The 19,098-nt window shown below is 39.6% G+C and overlaps 1 long non-coding RNA gene across 2 annotated transcripts, besides 1 other annotated feature; it reads left to right on the top strand.

Annotated features, from left to right (window-relative positions):
* The first annotated feature begins 176 nt into the window (after nt 1-176).
* On the top strand, nt 177-17,760 carry LINC02535 (long intergenic non-protein coding RNA 2535). Of its 2 annotated transcripts, NR_134633.1 has the most exons (4): nt 177-302; nt 605-724; nt 1,766-1,867; nt 15,422-17,760. It is a non-coding gene; the product is annotated as a long intergenic non-protein coding RNA 2535 (long non-coding RNA). The 2 variants fall into 2 exon arrangements; NR_134634.1 differs by lacking the exons at nt 177-302; nt 605-724; nt 1,766-1,867 and adding an exon at nt 14,793-14,966.
* Nucleotides 1,058-1,850: an enhancer, noted in NCBI's record as "NANOG-H3K27ac hESC enhancer chr6:86112847-86113639 (GRCh37/hg19 assembly coordinates)". NCBI's record gives its function as "activates a minimal SCP1, AML or CMV promoter by ChIP-STARR-seq in primed H9 embryonic stem cells {active_cell/tissue: H9 hESC(primed)}" and the evidence as "EXISTENCE:reporter gene assay evidence [ECO:0000049][PMID:30033119]".
* Nucleotides 17,761-19,098: the final 1,338 nt, after the last annotated feature.

Genomic DNA, 19,098 nt, shown 5'->3' with positions numbered 1-19,098 from the left:
TCAGCTTCATTGCCCATCATTTTTAGGTCTAAGATTCATACAAATTCCGGAAGATTGAATGAAAATCCTGCCTCCGTCTGGGAGTATTATTTATTTGCATAGCATAGACAGGCCTCACACCCGATTTCCTGAAGCACTGCCAGCCAGCTTGACTCACCGCCCCCACAGTGATGCCCGATTCTTCCATCAAGGCTGGAACACAGGAGCAAATAGCTTGAACATACAAGGATTATATTGTTCCTTCTCTTAAAGTTACCTCTGTCATGCGCGTCCGTGTGAAGATACCACCAAACAGGCTTTGTGTGAGCAACAAGACTGTTTATTTCACTTGGGTGCAGGCGGGCTGAGTCCGAAAAGAGAGTCAGCCAAGTGTGGGATTATCATCAGTTCTTACATGTTTGGGGATAGGCGGTGGAGTTAGGAGCAATGTTTTGTGGGCAGGGGGTGGATCTCACAAAGTACATTCTCAAGCATGGGGAGAATTACAAAGAACTTTCTTAAGGGTGGGGGAGATTACAAAGTACATTGGTCAGTTAGGGTGGGGCAGAAACAAATCACAGTGGTGGAATGTCATCAGTTAAGGCTATTTTCACTTCTTTTGTAGATCTTCAGTTGCTTCAGGCCATCTGGATGTATACGTCAGGTCACAGGGGATATGATGGCTTAGCTTGGGCTCAGAGGCCTGACAACCTCCAGATTCAGAGTTCTTAACCTCTTTTTCCTGGTACATTGATAAAAGGTGCTCTAAGGACACACAGCCTCTCTTTGTTAGGTCCCTATTATCTTTCTTTTAAAACAAAAGTGGTTTAAGGGTAACATAAGCCATGCTATTTCCTAAAGCTGGGTCCCCCCCTGCTTTGACTTCTTTGACTTCATTCACCAGCCTTAGAAGTGGTCCGCAAGATTCATTCATTTAGGCAATAGCACGTGTGTCAAAACCGTGGAGTAAGGGCTTTACATTAAGCTGATTTGCCTTTTACCTGGACAAACACCTGAGCACCAACATTACCCACCTTGAATACTAATTCATAACATAATTCATAAACAAGGTCATACCTGTTTAAAGGCTTTAAGTGTTCATTTCAAAGCCACATACAACCAGGGAGTCAGCTGAACTAACTTCATGTCTTAAGACATTCCAGAGTGCTAATTTACATACCCAGTGGTATTTCCTGAGGATGTGATTCACTCATACCCAGCAGAGAGGGAAAGAGTAACATTTGAAAACATACTTAATGAAGGGTGGGTAAAACTCTATTCTTTCTGGCAAACAGTCTTATGGTGTGAAGTGGATATTTTTACCATTTCTCTTTGTGCCAAGAGATAGAGATGATGTTTTAGGGGCTGCAACTGGAGGTGTGAGAATAGCTTGTTCCTGCCCAGGCTGAGACTTTGAGGAAAGCAGAGACTTGCTGTTCAGTGAAGTCAGGGAGGCAGGCTCTTTTTGGAGTTGGAGATGTACATTCCTTGAATGTGACGATTCACAGCTAAAGCCACGTCTCTGTGCCTTGTTACAAGGCTGGCCATGGGGGTCTAGTGAAGCAGGAAGGGGACTTGCTTCAGTGACAGGCATCTGGTCTGCTGGCCTTCTCTTTCCTTGTCAAAGGCATGACACTCTAGTCTTCTTTACCAAGGACCCTTCCCTGGCTCCTGGCTCTAGCTTTGCTTTTCCTTCACAGGCACGGTGTTTTATTCTTTTGTTTAGAAAACATTCCAGCCTGTAGGTAACCTCTGTGCCATATAACCTTTTATTTCCTATGATTAGGAAGTTTGCTGAGGAGCCAGATGCCTTGTGCTGACTTGTCTATTTTGAAAGAGGCTGCAGAAACACTCGATTCCACCTCAACCCGGAATTCAGCTTTCTTAGGTAATACACATGACGAGGCTCCAATTGTTCATGTATTCATTCCCTCCCTTGCATATTCCACCAATATTTGGTAAGTGTCAGCTACGCGCCACGTGCTTACTGAATTATTCATTTGTGTGGAGACATCTTATTCACTAGAATTCTGGAAAGGACTGGAAAGGACAAGGGCTGGCCCATGGGAGAGAAGCAGGCTGAGGACAGGGCTGGACAGGCCTTCCCAAAGTTGCTGTGCAGTGGACAGGGTGATGGCTGGGCTAGGGCTTTTGGAGACCAGGGCCCGGGTATGGGGCTGGCTCTGCAAGAAAAATAGGAGAGCTGGGCCCTGGGTTGTCCTGTGGAAAGTACCCTTACCCCCAAGGTCACTCATCTTCAACCCAACAACCATGATTATGATGTGCTCACGAGACTGGCTTTCTTCTTGTGGAAAATAAGAGGGGTAGATCTTGCTTCTGGGTTGGTGTACAGTGGAACCCCTGTACAGAAGCTAGAGCAAATGAAGGTATCTTGATGTTACATCTTTCACAGGAAGAATACAAGGCTCATTCAAGATGGTGCAATTGGGAGACTTGAGCCAGGTTCACCTAATTCTCTGTGCCTTCTCAGGACAGAGGAACTAGAGAAAGTTTCCTCCTGTAAGCAGCACAGCCCCCTGGACCATGGCCTTGGCCCCTAGAGGCTTTTTCATGCAAAGAAAACTAAGGCTGTGGTTGTAGTCACAGAAGCAGGGTTTTGTCCTGGGGCAAGATGGGGCCTGGGTTTCAGCCTCTGTGTTGTCCCCTCCTCTGGGTGACTTTGAGCACATGTTGCCTATTTCACCAGTCTGGTTCCTATTAACCATTGGTAGACACTAGTAATCAAGGATGTGGCTCCAAATGTTTCCTGTGTGTCTGCCAACCAGCTGTAAAGTTGACCTTGTCAGGAATTCTGGTTTCAGTGTCTCAAAGAACATTATCTGTTATAGTTGTAGTCTGATGGCAAATAATAACATTTAATTAGTATTCAGTATCCCCTAAGTTCTATTTACAACAGTAGGAAAGTGGATTTCAGTTCCAGGTGGGAGTCACAGGGCATTTTCCTAACCTCCAGGAAGTTCTTCCTCTAGGAAGATACTGCTAATGAAGGAAGCAAATACAAATAGTAATAACAATGAATAAAAGCAGTTGTTTATTTAGCACTTAAACTGCACTGTCAAAAGAAAACTCTCATGACACGCACACTAGGGTCCTCATTGGTAGGGAAATGGTTCTCAGTTAACTGGCAATTAAGGGGAGTCAGGCTCCCTCAGAGACTGGAAAGTCTGGGTGAGCAACTGACTCGGCCCCTTCCCTCTAGGTGTGTCTAGTCTGAAAGTCCTCCAGGCTGGGATTGTTTGGAGGGGTTCACTTTCTTTTCCTGTATGTTTCAGTTCAGTCCCCAGCTAGGCTGTAACCACTTTGAGAGCAAGGACAGAAATGACTTCCTGTTTGCCCCCGAGGAAATAGAAAAGGACCCACAAGGTGAAAGTCTGCTGTGTGTAAGGGTCTGAGTCTATTCAGTGCAATATATACTATTTTATTCCTGAAGCAGCTGTGAACATATTTTTTTTAGTGGCCACAATTTATATTTTTAAACCTTTCAAAGGTCCTCACAGTTGCTGAGGATCACTCAAAACTCCCACTTGGATAGCGCTCAGGCCTTCCTGAGTCTGCATCTGGTACTAAACTTTGTTTTTGTTTTACTCTCTTTGTGCTCTCAGGTCCTCGTCCCTCTCTCTTCTGCTTCTTAAAAATGTACACAACCAAAAGGCCTGAGCTTGCTGGTTTTCATGTGGCTTTGAAAATTCTGTTCTTGGAAGGTAGCTGTAAAACTTGGGTACTGAGAATATTTGGCGCTACTCAGGCTGTTTTATATTTGTGAATAAAATTGGTAGGAGATCACAGTTTACCTAAATAAAGCTTAGTGCCCTAATCCAGTTTTTTTTTTTTTTTGAAAGAAACATTTTAGGCAGGAACAATTAAAAATTTTAATCCCAAGGAAACTTCAGACCTTTATTTTGTCCTGAAATAAATCTCACTGGAGATTGTCATTTTTGGTTTAGTTGTCAGTCTTGAGAATATACACAATCTTCCCAGAGTTGTTCCTATTTATTAAGCCCTCTTTCTGAGTAGGGCTCTGCACTAAGCTCTGGTCAAATTTTAATGCTTCATTGAAGATTCTGAGCCTGATCTGGGAAAGTTTGCTCTAATTTAAGGTGTTAAAGACATTGCAAAACAACATGACTGGAATTGATAAGAATTAATAAGCAATTCTGGCTTCTATTACTGCTCTTACCTTTTTTATTAGTTGATTTTAGGCTAATCTTATCATTATTAATGTGGAAAAATGTAAGATGCAAAGGTTGCCATTCCCCCAAGAAATTCCTGTGTGAATTCTGTAGCCTGATTAAAAATATTACATGTTGGCATTAAAATTATGGGCCTTTACTTTTACCACCCACGGTGTTTGGGAAAAGCAGTGAGGGACAAAGAGAAGTTATTTAGAATCACAGAGTTGTTTGTACTACCCGTGGTTCTCCTGGAATAACAGCTCTGTGGAAACATAAAGTCATGGTATTTGCAGGAGTAAAGAAAACACGATAGAAGCACAGATGGAATGGTTAGTTAGGTGGAGGGTCCCGGATGTGGGCTGTGTGAGTGGTTAATTACCTGCCTTTCTTGATTGGGCTTTTGGAAAACTTGACAAATTCCAAGTTGTTTTTCCAGCCTGAGGACTGACTTACTATTTAAACCTGGACAAGTCACTCTATGTTTTGTAAAGAATATTTGAGAAATGTTTGAGAAAGCTTCTTGATAGCTATTTGCTACATTGCCTTTTGTCTTTTACAGCAATACCCAGGGATTTCGACAGTCTCCCAAACAGAACCAGGGAGCAAAATAGCCATGATCTGTATTCTAGAACATTCCAGAATTGGTCCTTAAACACTGTGTAGTAAACGGGTTAAATAGAATAGTGGTATAAAAAGAAATAGGTGTAACTCTTCCAGATATGTGACTTTGTGTTGAGAAATAAGCAGTGTTTCTGAAATATTTATTTTTTCCAGTCATTCAATACTAACTAGATTTTTATTGAACTCTACAGTAGATGGCATGGGTAACCAACCCTAAGTTCACCTGCAGCTACAGCAGAGAGCTCTAGGGTACACTGGTAGATTCCCCTCTTACCTGTCCATGGCTCTTTGTTTCTCTCCCTGCAACAAAAAGAGCTCCCTCAGCCATGTGCAGGGCTGCTGGCAATGCTGGAAATGGATGCTCCAGGGGCAACACTTAATCAATGAGGTATGAGAGTTTGTGAATAAATACTGCAGCTTCTGTATCCCTTGGTGGAACAGTTCTGAAGGATGCTTCCCATAGGGTCCTCATCTGCCCACAGTGGCCATCGACTCACTGATGCACACACTATTGGCCTTCCTCCCTTCTTTGCCTTGATCTCCCCACTTGCACTTCCTGGGATCATGTTCCCAATAAACTACCTAACCCAGGGTTGCCTTGGGGTTCGCTTTCAGAGGAACTCAGAGGCAGGCAAACTGTGACTAAGGCACCATGCTAGACCAGTGAAACTCTCAAAGATCTAGTAGTAGAGACAGAAGAGACTAAGAAAAATGGACCGCTAGCAGAACATGGCGTGTACTGTGAATGGTACGAAAATGACAGCTATAGAGGGATTCAAAGAAAGGGGAGATAGTTTCAGTTTGGAAAAAAACAGGACAATGGAATAAGAAAATTATGTGAGTCCATTGAAATTATCAGGCCCAGAGAGGCATTAAAATGAAACAGCAATCATGTCCTACTCTCCTCTTTTTTGGGCTATGTTTTCAGCTTTTGAAACTGCTTGTTATTGCCACAAGTAACTAAAAATTAACCTAATAATGCCACCCAGTACACTATAACCGGCGTTCTACAGCTTAACAATGCGTAGCCAATCAATAATGTCATTATAATGTGAATTTTTGGTAAACAACTCTGGAACTGCCTCTTCTTTCCCTTTAAAAATCCACTTGTAACTGCTGCTAATCAGAGTGTATACTCAGGGCAATTTGAAACTGTGCTCCTGGATTGCAGTCCTCAAGCTTGGCCCAGATAAACTGTCTACATTTTTTTCCCCCTTTCCTTTCCTTTTCTTTCTTTCTTTTTTTTTTTTTAACTTTTATTTCTGTTTAGGGGTACATGTGCGGGTTTGTTATATGGGTAAATTGTGTGTCACAGGGGTTTGGTGTACAGACTATTTCATCACTCAGGTGATAAGCATAGTACCTGACAGGTGGTTTTTTAATCTTCTCCCTCCTCTCACCCTTCACCCTCCACCCTCAGGTAGGCCTCAGTGTCTGTTGTGCTCTTCTTTGTGTCCATGTTCTCAATGTTTAGATCCCATTTATAAGTGAAAACCTGTGGTATTTGGTTTTCTGTTCCTGCATTAGTTTGCTTAGGATAACAGCTTGCAGCTCTATTCATGTTGCTCTAAAGGACATGATCTTGTCTCTATTTATGGCTGTATAGTATTCCATAGTTTATTTGTACCACATTTTCTTTATCTAATCTGCCATTGATAAGCACTTAGGTTGATTTCACATCTTTGCTATTGTGAATAGTGCTGCGATGAACATTTGCGTGCATGTATCTTTATGGTAGAATTATTTATATTTCTTTAGGTATATACTCAGTAACGGAATTGCTGAGTTGAATGGTACTTCTGTTTTAAGTTCTTTGGGAAACTGCCACACTGCTTTCCACAATGGCTGAACCAATTTACATTCCCACCAGCAGTGTATAAGAATTCCCTCTTCTCTACAACCTTGCCAGTACCTGTTATTTTTTTATTTTTTAATAATAGCCGTTCTGACTAATGTGAGATGGTATCTCATTGTAGTTTTGATTTGCATTCTCCAATATTTAGTTATTTTGAGCATCTTTTTCATGGCTGCATATATGTCTTTCTTTGAAAACCGTTCATATTCTTTGCCCACTTTTTAATGGGGTTGTTTTCTGCTTGTAAATTCATTTATATTCCTTATATATTCTGGATATTAGACCTTTGTCAAATGCATAGTTTGCAAATATTTTCTTCCACTCTGTAGGTTGTCTGTTTACTCCATTGATAGTTTCTTTTGCTTTGTAGAAGCTCTTTAGTTAGGCCTCATTTGTCAATTTTTGTTTCTGTTGGAATTACTTTTTGTATCTTTGTTGTGAAATCTTTGCCAGGGCCTATGTCCAGAATGATATTGCCTAGGTTATCTTCTAGGATTTTATAGTTTTGGGTTTTACATATAATTCTTTAATCCATCTTGAATTGATTTTTGTATATGATGTAAGGAAGGGGCTCCAGTTTTAATCTTCTGCATATGACTAGCCAGTTATCCCAGCACCATTTATTAAATAGGGACTGCTTTCCCCATTGCTTGTTTTTGTTGACTGTTGAAGATAAGATGGTTGTAGGTGTGTAGCATTATTTTTGCAGTCTCTATTCTGTTCCATTGGTCTATGTGTCTGTTTTTGTACCAGTACCATGCTGTTTTGATTATTATAGCCTTGTAGTATAGTTTGAAGTTGGATAACGTGATGCTTTCAACTTTGTTCTTTTTGCTGAAGATTGCTTTGGCTATTTGGGCCCTTTTTTGGTTCCATACAAATTTTAAAATTGCTTTTTCTGGCTGGGTATGGTGGCTCATGCCCTTAATCCCAACACTTTGGGAGGCTGAGGTGGGCGGATCACTTGAACCCAGGAGTTTGAGACCAGACTGGGCAACATGGTAAAACCCCATCTCTACAAAAAATACAAAAATTAGCCATTCATAGTGGTGTGTGCTTGTAGTCTAAGCTATTCAGGAGGCTGAGGTGGGAGGATTGATTTAGCTTGGGAGGTCGAGGCTGTAGCGAGCCAATTGCACCACTGTACTTCAGCCTAGGTGACAGAGTAAGAGCCTATCTCAAAAAAAATTGCTTTTGCTAATTCTGTGAAGAATGTCATTGGTAGTTGATAGGAATCGCACTGAATCTATAAATTGCTTTGGGTAGTCTGGCCATTTTAACAATGTTGATTCTTTCTATTCATGAGCACGGCATGTTTTTTCATTTGTTTGTGTCATCTCTGATTTATTTGAGAAGTGTTTTGTAATTCTTGTAGAGATCTTTCATCTCCCTGGTTAGCTGTATTCCTAGGTATTTTATTCTTTTTGTGGCTATTGTGAATGTGATTGTATTCTTGATTTGGCTCTCAGCTTGGATGTTGTTGGGGTATAGAAATGCTACTGATTTTAAACTCTCTATATTAATTTTGCCTTAGCTTCTTCCTTTTAGGTTGACAGGAAGAAGTAGGATAAAGTGAGGATCCGAAGAATGAGTTGGAATTAAATTATTTTTCTACAGAGTTGGGAAGATAGCATTGGATCTGTGGTCTGGGGCTGACAAATAGAGCCTTTATCTGGAGGGGGAGGTAGAGGGAAGGGAAACAATGTTTGCTGAAGTGAGGCTATTAGTCATACAGGTTATATAGGACTAAAGTGGGCACAATGATTGGGAACACAGTTTACACACACTATCATATTTAATCCCCAAAATAATAACCATCTGAGAAAGGTATCATCATCCATAGTTTATAGAATAGAAATCTGAGGCCAGAGAGCTTAATTGGTTGGCTCAAATTGACATAGCTAGTAAATGGCAGATATAGGATCGAAATCTATATGGGGCCAATCCTAGAAAGTGAATGTAAACACAGCTGGCTGAAAAGTGAAAGATTAAACAGTCTTCTGTTGGACTATAGCACCAAAAATGATATTCATTATTCATCTGCTGCACCCTTTTGCCGTGATCTGACTTATTATTTACCCATATCAAATCTGGGGACAATTTTAATCATGATTAAGTCTAGGATGCTGCATTATTTTGAGATGGAAAGACAGTTCATTTCTGTCTCAGTAGACACTATAAAAGGCATTAGAACTTTGATTTATATTTAGCTTAAACAAAGATAAATAGTTTGCATTTGATCAATCAATGTAGATCTTTAAAAATACTCTACCTAATATGCTAGTTTATCAATTGTTAGAGTTGATTTGATTAGGGTGATTTATTTAACTGAACTGTGCCCCCAGATCTGATCTTAGCCTAGTAACAGAAAAGAATGATGACTGTTACACATTTGGAGAGCAATTAGAGTAACTCTCCTGCTGGGGATGTGGTTGGTTCTTAAAAGCCATGTAAATTGTTAAATAAGTATTAAATAGACATGAAAGGCTAAGCCTTTCTCTTTTAATTCAGAAACTGCCAAGAAAAGAAAAAGATAAAGAGGGAAAACAATAAGTATTAAACAGGGATAATAACCAGAGGCCTTCTCTCTACTGCAGTTTGGAATTTCATGCTTCTTTAGGTTTTCAAATTATTTCCCTTTGCTTTTAAATGAATTTAATCTGGATAATAATTTGTCTACAGACCTTGCAATTCAAATGATTCTACTTAGTTTAAAAAATGAAAGAGACTTGAAACAATTCTCCAATCTCCATTGGCAAAATGGAGATGAAGGTGAAAAAAATAAAATAATAGCCAACACTTATTAAATTCTTATGTGGGCTAGCAATTCTTCTAAACAACTTTACTTAGAGGAAGCTAAGGAACAGGAAAAGTGATTTTGCCAAAAGTGGATCTGGGATGAAAGCCAGGCATTTGGGTTCAGAGTGTATGCACCAAACTTCTTTACTTTCTTGCTTCAATTGTAGTAATAAGAGCACTTAACAACTCTTCAGCTGTGCTCTCTGTGGAAGATATTATCTCCCTATTATAGACAAGGACATTGAGTCTTGGAAAAATTAACCAACCAATTAGCTCAAGATCAGACAACACAGATGAAGTAGTCTGGAATTTAGCAGAGGTCTGTGTAATTTCAAAGTCTGTGCTTTGAGTGTTTTGATGCTTAATGTTCAAGGTCAAAGGGTTTACCAAATGGGTTTACAGAAAGAAGTTTCACCTTTCTGTCCCAAGAATTGGCCTTAAAGCACAGTGCCATGGCCAGGAGACCTGGCTAACAGAGCACCTGCAGTCCCAGCGGGCAGCTTCTGTGCATTCCTGTTCAGAGGGTAGGCCAGTCTCAAAGAGATGCTGATGAGTATGGTGTTCCAGGAGGACTGGACTGCCTTGCCACTATTAAGGTCAAGTGCTAAATAAACATCTTGTGAGTTTTACACCTGAGAAATACAAATAAAATCCTAAACCCTCCAACTGACTGAATCCACCCCCTCTTAGCCAAGGAGACCCCAGAGAAGCCTTAAAAACTGAGTTTTGGCCCATTATGGGGGAGGTTGGATATGCTTCATTATACTTTCTCCCTCAGTACCTGCCATTAAACCTTCTTTCCTAAGGATTTAACAGAAACCAGCCATTTCAAAAGACTCAGTGGACTCCCCTCCATTTTTGCAGTTTTGACCCAACAATCAACCAGCATGTTTTCCTGATAAGAGACCACTAACCATGAACTGGTTTTGGCCAGTTTGTGGAGTCTATGTACTGGATGCCTCTGTGTCCTCCATTTCACCTTATAATGTGTATAGCCTAATTTTAATGCATTTAAATGTTAAGTATCCACCAAAAAGTGAACCTCGGATGTATGTGACATGCATGTTAGTTTACTATGCATGCATACATGCATGCCCTCTTTCATGAATATTTATTGCTCCTCCTGTAATCTGATGAATATGTATGCTTAGCCAACCCATTTGGCCTAAATTCCTGTGTCACCATTTCCTCTCTGCTTCTACTGGAGGTTATGCTTCCCAGGCTGTGGATTGTTACCCTGGAGGCTGCAACCTTTTATAAGAAATAAAGTTCTCCTGTCCAAATGTGGAAACCTCATAATTCTTTGGTTGACACAACTCAAGAATATTTCCTCATGGACTTGTGGCAACATTGGTTGACACGCTTCTTCATGTTCCTCATCTTCTCGAAATGTAATCGTCAAAAAAGATAAGGCCTCATCTCTCAGTTTCCTGGGAGAAAATGGGCCTAATTTCAACTCTCCCCGACTTGAAATGGCAAACCCCTACCTCTAGTTATAATGATACAATAAACTTAGGGATTTTTTCTTGAAAACATGAGTGTAATGGATTATATCCACTTTGCTCTATGAAAGATTTCTTTTCACCATTGCAATCTCTCCAGTGAATTGTTCGTGATACGCGTTACGTTCTGGTTTAATGTTTATTCAATAGTAAAATTGTTTTCTTTCTTGATTATGTTTGTGGAGAGGTTTTCTGGGCTGGGAGGGGGTTTTGCTTTTAATTATATTTCCTCAACACTACCTTAGGAAGCTTCTTCTGGGAGATTCCAAAAAGGCAAAGCTGCTTCTGGGAGAGGTCTAGGGAGCAGGGGAGGGGAAGGTACCAGACTCACCAGGAGGGCTTCTAGGATTGATAGATTTGATTAAGGCATTAATTAATTCCAAAAATATTTATTGAGTACTTACTATGTGCCTGGCCCTGTGCTAGAGTCAAAATGTCAGAGAGGTACTTTTCCTAATTATAGCCCGAAGAGAGCATAGTAATTGGAAACACACCTGCCTCCTGGGTGCTTAGGAACAGGAATTGGCTGTGGATTTCCTGCCTGGGAACCTGGGGGCTGTACAAAGAGATAAAGAATTGAAGAACCTAAGATCTCTAAAGGAGGTTTAAGTGTGTCTTGGGATTGGACCTTTAGGGAGGCTTTTAAAGAGAACTGCTTTTTCTAGACTGACATTCTTAGATAGCACAGCTCCTGTGTTGATCATCTTTGCACAGCCAGGCTGTAGCCTAGTGTCTAAGATGTAGGAGGCAGCCTATAAATGGTTGTTGATGAAATAAGTGAAAGAAAGAAAACTTTTCCCTCTGGCAAGGAAAGACTCAGATAAAATTCCCCATGACTTCTAAAGGTGCTCCTGGGCATTACTTTTCATTGTTTTTCCTGGGGATGCTGATTCCTCAGAATGTCGTTGTATTATAGTACATTCCTTAAGGGATATGGTTTTCATTTTCCTGAATGTTGCTCCTTTCTCTCATTTTACCAGCAACTTGTTACTCCCTTTCACTTTCAGACTCTTTTCTCTCTTTCCCTTCTCCTTCAGCAACTTCTCTCCCCATTGAAGTTAGAAGTAAAATGTAACAATTAATCAACCATTTTAATAGGGACTATTTTCCCTTTGGGATATAAGATAATGTCTCTTTATCACACAGGTCATCCTTCACAATGTTTTCTTGCTTTTCAGATGTGCCAGTTAACTGTATTAGTCTATTCTCACATTGCTATGAAGAAATACCATAGACTGGGTAATCTGTAAAGGAAAGAGGTTTGATTGACTCACAGTTCTGCATTGCTGGATAGGCCCCAGGAAACTTACGATCATGGCGGAAGGCAAAGGAGAAACAGGCACCTTCTTCACAGGGCATCAGGATGGAGTGAGTGCAAGCAGGGAAAATGCCAGATGCTTATAAAACCATCAGATCTCATGATAATTCACTCACTATCAGGAGAACAGCATGGGGGAAACCTCCCCTATGATCCAATCACCTCCACGTGGTCCCGCCATTGACATGTGGGGATTATGGGGATTACAATTCATGGTGAGATTTGGGTAGGGACACAGAACAAAACCATATCATTAACCATGGAGGTACATGTATTAGTCTGCCAGGACTGCCATAACAAAGTACTGCAGACTGAATGGCTTAAACAACAGAATTTTACTTTCTGAGTTCTGGAGGTTGGAAGCCCATTATCAAGAGTCCAGCAGGGTTGGTTTCCTCTGAGGCTTTTCTTCTTGGCTTGCAGATGGCCACCTTCTCCCTGTTTTCATACAACCTTCCCACTGTATCGCTCTGTGTCCTAATTTTCTCTTTTTATAAGGTCACCAGTCATATTGGATTAGGGCCCACTTTAATCGACTCATTTTAACTTAATTAGCTCTTTAGAACCCTGTCTCCAAACACAGTCACATTCTGCGGTATTGGAGGTTAGAATTTCAACATATGAATTTTAGGGCAACACAATTCAGCCCCTATCAGTATATCTTACAATTTTTTTTTTCTTTTTAAAAATCACTGGTATTTGCTAAGTGGCTGATCACTAGAATTACCTGGAGATATTTAAAAATACAGATTCCTGGCCCCTCCTTAGTAGACTCTCATTTAGTGGGTCTGAAATGGGGCTGGAAATCTTTACGTTTAAAAAATATTTTAAGACCTGGGTATGGTAGTTCACACCAATAGTCCCAGTGATTTGGGAGACTGAGATGGGAGGGTCACTTGATCCCAGGGGTTGGAGGCTGCAGTGAGCTATGATCACACCACTATACTCCAACCTGGGCAACAGAGTAAGACCATGACTCAAAATATAAAACCTTAGATAATTGAGATAATTAGTGAGGTTTGAGAACGACCCTTATAAGGAACTCCTGGCATTATTTATTACCATACTAGGGAAGATCAAATTGAATGAAACAATGGTAGTTGCTCAGAGGAACCTCAGAAAGATTACACCTAGTAAGCACCACTTTGAAACTTTACTGTTTCCTTTTATTTGGTTCCATGTGGTTTTCTGTCTTCTTCATTGCTTTTCATTTCTGCATGTATATATAAGCTCTTAAAGCATCCAACACACTTTGCTCCACATTTATAATTTAATTAGCTGTGTCTATTGGACTTAGGTTCCAAATAATTTCTGACACACATGCTCCTATCTGAAATACAAATATTTATCAGGCATTGAATGTTGTATGAGTGCAGCTGTCATGTTTGATGATGATGACATAAAGAAGAGTGCAATAAGGTCTCTCCCAAGGAGTTCAGGGACTTTCTTTGTTAGATTGTCAAAAGCATTAGCTCTTCATGCTACCATATTATTATTTGAAAGAAAATCTGATTGTTGGAAATTTGTAGTGGGATTGTTGTTCCCCTTTGCTCCATGGAAATTTATCATATTTTTTGGTTGTTTTGACTGTTATGACTGATTTACTAGTGATAACTGAACTCGGGGTCAGTTACCTCAGTTCTATGGCTCTAATGCCTGCTTTGTGGCTGCCATCTTGAGAGACTGGCATAAGTTCCCCAGCATTCTTTCCCTTAGCACAACTTAACCATGACTTAGCACATTCCAAAGGTTTAGCTAAGCATAACTGCCCCTAGATAAGTTTTAATACTTGATTGTAAACAACTTCATCAGTGTGCTTGCAGAATTACAATGAAAGTATGTTTCATTTCAATTGAAGTAAACCCAATGGCAATTGTCAAAATGGGAGATAATATTGCTGTGTGTCCTAAGAAGAGATAATTTAGGCATTTGAACATGAAATGTAATCTCTTGTTTTTTTTTAAAAAGAGATTATGCAAAGGTAAGAATGGGGATCTTTCTTTTTCTAGAAAGTCATTGATCTATGATCCCTTGAGGGTAATATAAAAAAAGTTAATTATAGATTTTAAAATTTGCTTCAGATCTGTTAGAATAAGAAAGTGAGGGAGGCAGAAACAAAGTGGAATGGATTCAGTCATTGAGAGGAGAGGCAGAGTTCAGTTTGCACTGTAAGCTTCAAAGTGTTAGCATAAGCTGTCTACTGCTCTTTGGCTTGTTATTCATTTACTTTTTCTTCCAGTCATTTCTTAAATCATTTATCAAACATTTATGGAGAATTTATCTAGAGTTATAGAGATAAATACAAAGCTATATCTATTCTTAGTCGCAGGGGCTCAAAGTCCTGGGAGAGATGGACACATCAACCAATAGTAATAGCAGGTGTGATGGGTGTATATGGAGATATGCCCAGGGTTACGAAGAGCCTGGAAAATAGATGACCAACCAGCAGGCTGGGTTAGGGTGTGGTTTCAGAGAGGAAGCACTGGACTAAGACTTGAAGAATGCATTGGAAGAGCAAATCAGGCAGAAAAGAGGACAGAGTCATTTTGCTCAGAAGAAACAGCATGTGCAAATGTGCCACAACCATTCAAAGCAAGTTGCTGCTTAAGTCTTGCCCACAACTTTTCATCTGAAAAGTGGAGTAGCTGAAGCAGCCAATGCTGGTGGTTATAATTCTTGAGGATGCAACAGTAAGAACGGTAAGAAATATTCTGCATGTCAAGGGTCTAATGAAGCCTCCTGGTTTGGGCTGGGCCAGGCACGGGGAAAGAGGTACACACCTTTTTTCAGTGTAATTTTTATTTTCAGGGACTGTTCCTGGCACCAAATAGACATTATATACATATTTATTGAATTGATTTGACAGATTTTTTTGTTTACTTATGAAGATAAGAAAGTAACAATCTCACCTCTAGTATTTCTCTTATAGAGACGTAACTGTCATTTTAAAGATGTTATTATGGGGTCGACATTCCATGTCAGTATGTTTTATATCCATGGAGCAAAGGAGAATGACAGAGCTACTGCAAACCAAAAGCAAACCCTGCCGCCCGCGCACACCCTCCCTGGTGTACCAGAATTTGTACTCAATGGTGACTCAATTGATTTTCCATTAGTAAGACATTTGATCTGTGTCATTGTTCCTCTCTTCTAGGAAAGGAAATAACCCCCGAAGCCTTTGCAACTAAGGACATGTATCCTTCAGACAAGTGTTTACTGGGCAACTTCTTCGTGCTGTAATTGAGTGTGGCCGATTGCTCACAAAGATGTTTGCAAAATCCCTCCTGTCCCCTAACTCACTTCTCCTTGCAGTGTCACTCTGCCAACTTCTCCTGTCGATTGGTGAAGACTGTTTCTCCTCCCCCTTGAATATGGGCTGGGCTTGTAACTTGCTTGACCAATAGAATGCAGAGAAATGAAATGCAGCCTTCAACATTCAAGGCTATGCTCAAGGAGTCTAACCCTGTGGATATGCTGTTGTCAAATGAGGGAGCTTCGATTAGCCTGTTGAAGACACACAGACGACCCGACAGGCAATACCAACATTCAGATATGCAAGTTATGCTGTCTTAGACCATGCTGCCCAGGTGAACTTTTAGACGACTGCAATTTGTGAGTGACTCTAGGCAAGACCAGAAGAAACTTCTAGCTAAATCTAAACCAAATGCCAACTCAGAATTGTAAGCAAATAAAACGGTTGTTGTTTAAAGACACTAACTTTTGGGGTGTTTTGCCACACCTCAATACATAACTGTTACACTAATTATTTTTCATTGTGAAATCTTCAGCGTCTTATTCTGTAATCAAACCAGAATGTCCTTGCCTTCTTAGCACTTTGCCACAGTCCAGTGGGGTGAATAGACAGCAGCTGCTCATTTATGCTCATGCTCATGTTCATAATTTGCATTTGGACTAAAAGGAGCTCTGTTCTCCAGGACAGAACTATTCTAAAGCTCTTCAGGAACAGGAACAGGAGTCCATCACAGACAGCGAAATCAAAAGCGCCCTACATAGAGGCATCCAGACTGAGAGCTGAAAGGGATCTGGGAAATCATTTAGTCTCACTCCCTCATTTTCCATTCAGACCACAGGGATGAAAGAACTTGCTGAAGTTCTCACAGCTCTGTAGTGGCACAGTCAGAACAAGGATCCCAATCTCCTAACTACTAACATAAAATGCTTTCAGCATGCAAGTTGAGCATACAATGGGACAGTTTAAATTTAAATGGTGTTTTGAGCAAGGGGAGAGTCTAATTAATTACTTCAAAGTATAATTTTGGAGTCACCAGAAAGGCGTTAAAGACAAAAAAATGCTTTGGAACCTAGGTGCTTCATATCTGAAATTGGGGCAGGTACAGGTGTATTCCTACCACTAAAGGGTCATTAGTTGGTTGGGTAGTCCTTTAGTGTTCTTGGTACTAAGCACAAAACATGGGTAAGATGGTTCAAGGCTGGTTGTGGTGGCTCATGCCTATAGCCCCAGCATTTTAGGAGGCCAAGGCTGGAGGATAGCTTGAGCCCAGGAATTCGAGACAAGCCTGGGCAATATCGCAAGACCTTGTCTCTACAAATAATAATTTCTTAAGAATTGGCTGGGCATGGTGGCACACACCTGTAGGCTATTTGAGAGGTTGAGGTGGGAGGATTGCTTTAGTGTGGGAGGCTGAGGCTGCAATGAGGTGATCACACTATGGTACTACAGCCTGAGAAACAGTGTAAGATCCTGCCTCAAAAAAAAAAAGTTTATGTTCTCAAAGTGCTCATAATCTAGTGGTAGTACAGTATTTGAGATATTAGAGCAGTTTCTCCTCCTTTTGCAACTAAGGACATGTATCTTTAAAGCAGAAGGAATGGCAGAGTCGTGTAATAAACCCTCAAGTACCATTACTTAGCTTCAACAACTATCGACACTCTACTGTTCTTGTTTCATTTATGCCTCACCTCCTTCCCATCCCCCACTTGAATATTCTCATCCTTTTTTTTTACAGTTTTTAAGATAACAATTACATAACTGAAATGCACAAATCTTAGCTGTACAGTTTTGACATATGGATACACCTGTGTAACCAATGACTGTATCACAACATAGAGCATTTCATCTCCCCAGCAAGATCCATGTGTCTTTTCCTAGTTAATGCCTCTTTATTTCTGAGATGGTTATTGCTCTGCTTTTGTTTTTCATGTTAGGCTAGTCTTGCCTGTTCTAGAATTTCATATAACTGAGAACATACAGAATGTACTCACTAGTAGTGTCTGACTTTTTCACAAAGGATAATGTCTGTGGTATTCATTCATGCTGTTGTATGCATCAGTAGTTTATTTTCTTTTTACTATTAAGTAGTGTTCTAAGGACTATTTTAATAGCATCCCACAAAGGGGGTATGATATGTTCTATTTACATTATTATTTGGTTTGTAATATTTTATATTTTCTCTTGTGATTTCTCCTTTCACTCATGAATTATTATAATAAATTTTTTAAAGTGTATTATAATATATTTAGTGAAACTGTATTATTTGATTTACTAATGTCTGGTGCTTTTGTATCTGGTGTTGTTGGTTTCTAATTTAATTACATGGTTTTCAGAGAATATACTCTGAAAGATTTTAATCTTTTGAAATTTATATATATACTTTATAGCCTAGCATATGGTATAGCTTGGTGAATGTTCTATGTGTTCATGAAAGGAATTCTGAAGCTACTGGGTATAGTTTTCTACAAATGTCAATTAGGCCAAGTTGCTTGATAATTTTTTTCAAATATTTTATATCTGTATTGATGGTTTTTCTGGATGGTCTTTCAGCTACTGAGTGAAAAATGTTAAAATCTCTAGTTTTGATTGTGGACATGTCTAATTTTTCCTTTAGTTTTATCTGTTTTTGTTTTACGTATTTTGAAGCTATTATTAGATTAATAACATTCATAATTGTTATACTTTCTTTTTTTATTTCTCTTTTGTTATTCCCATTTTTTCATTCTCTCTTATCATTAAGAAATGTCCCTGCTTATCTCTAGTGATAGTTTTTGCTTTGAAGTCTATTGTGTTCCATTGCAATATAACCATACTAGCTTCTTTGTGATTGGCGTTTTTTGAGAAATCTCCATTCTGTTTTCCATAAGGGTTACATTCCCATAAACAGTGCATAAGAGTTCCTTTTTCTTTACATTGTCACCAAAATTTGTTACTATTTGACTCTTTAGTAATTGACATTCTGACTGGAGTAAGATGATACCTCATTGTGGTTTTAATTTTCATTTCTCTGATTAGTGATGTTGAACATTTTTTTATATACCTGTTGGCCATTTGTAAGTTTTCTCTTAAAAAATGGCTATTTGTGTTCTTTGCTCACTTTTTAATAGGATTATTATTATTGTTATTGTTATTGAGTTGAGTTCCTTGCATACTCTGAATATTAATCCCCTGTCAAATAGATAGTTTGCAAATATTTTATCCCATTCAGCAGGTTGTCTGTTCATTCTATTGATCATTTGCTCTGCAAAAGCTTTTGAGTTTAAGTGAGTCCCATTTGCCTATTTTTGTTTTTCTTTGCCTGTGCCTTACTCATTTCCTTTTCGTGGAAGTATGTTCTTCAAGTAGGTTTTGTTCAGTGAGGGTCTGTGGACAGTTATGTCATTGTCTTTGTATGTCCTAAAATGCCTTTTTCCCTTTACTTTAACTTCTTGGAGTATAATTAAGCTAGATATAGAATTCTAGACTGACAATTATTTTCCCTCCTTCCTTTAAGATACTCACCTGTTGTCTCTGGCATACATTGTTGATGATGAGAAGCATTCTGTCAGTCTTCTTGTTGCTCCTTTTTAGGTAACCTG

The sequence above is a fragment of the Homo sapiens genome, chromosome 6 (genome assembly GCF_000001405.40).
Source record: "Homo sapiens chromosome 6, GRCh38.p14 Primary Assembly".
NCBI lineage: Eukaryota > Metazoa > Chordata > Mammalia > Primates > Hominidae > Homo > Homo sapiens.
This window is presented reverse-complemented; position numbering and strand designations above follow the sequence as displayed.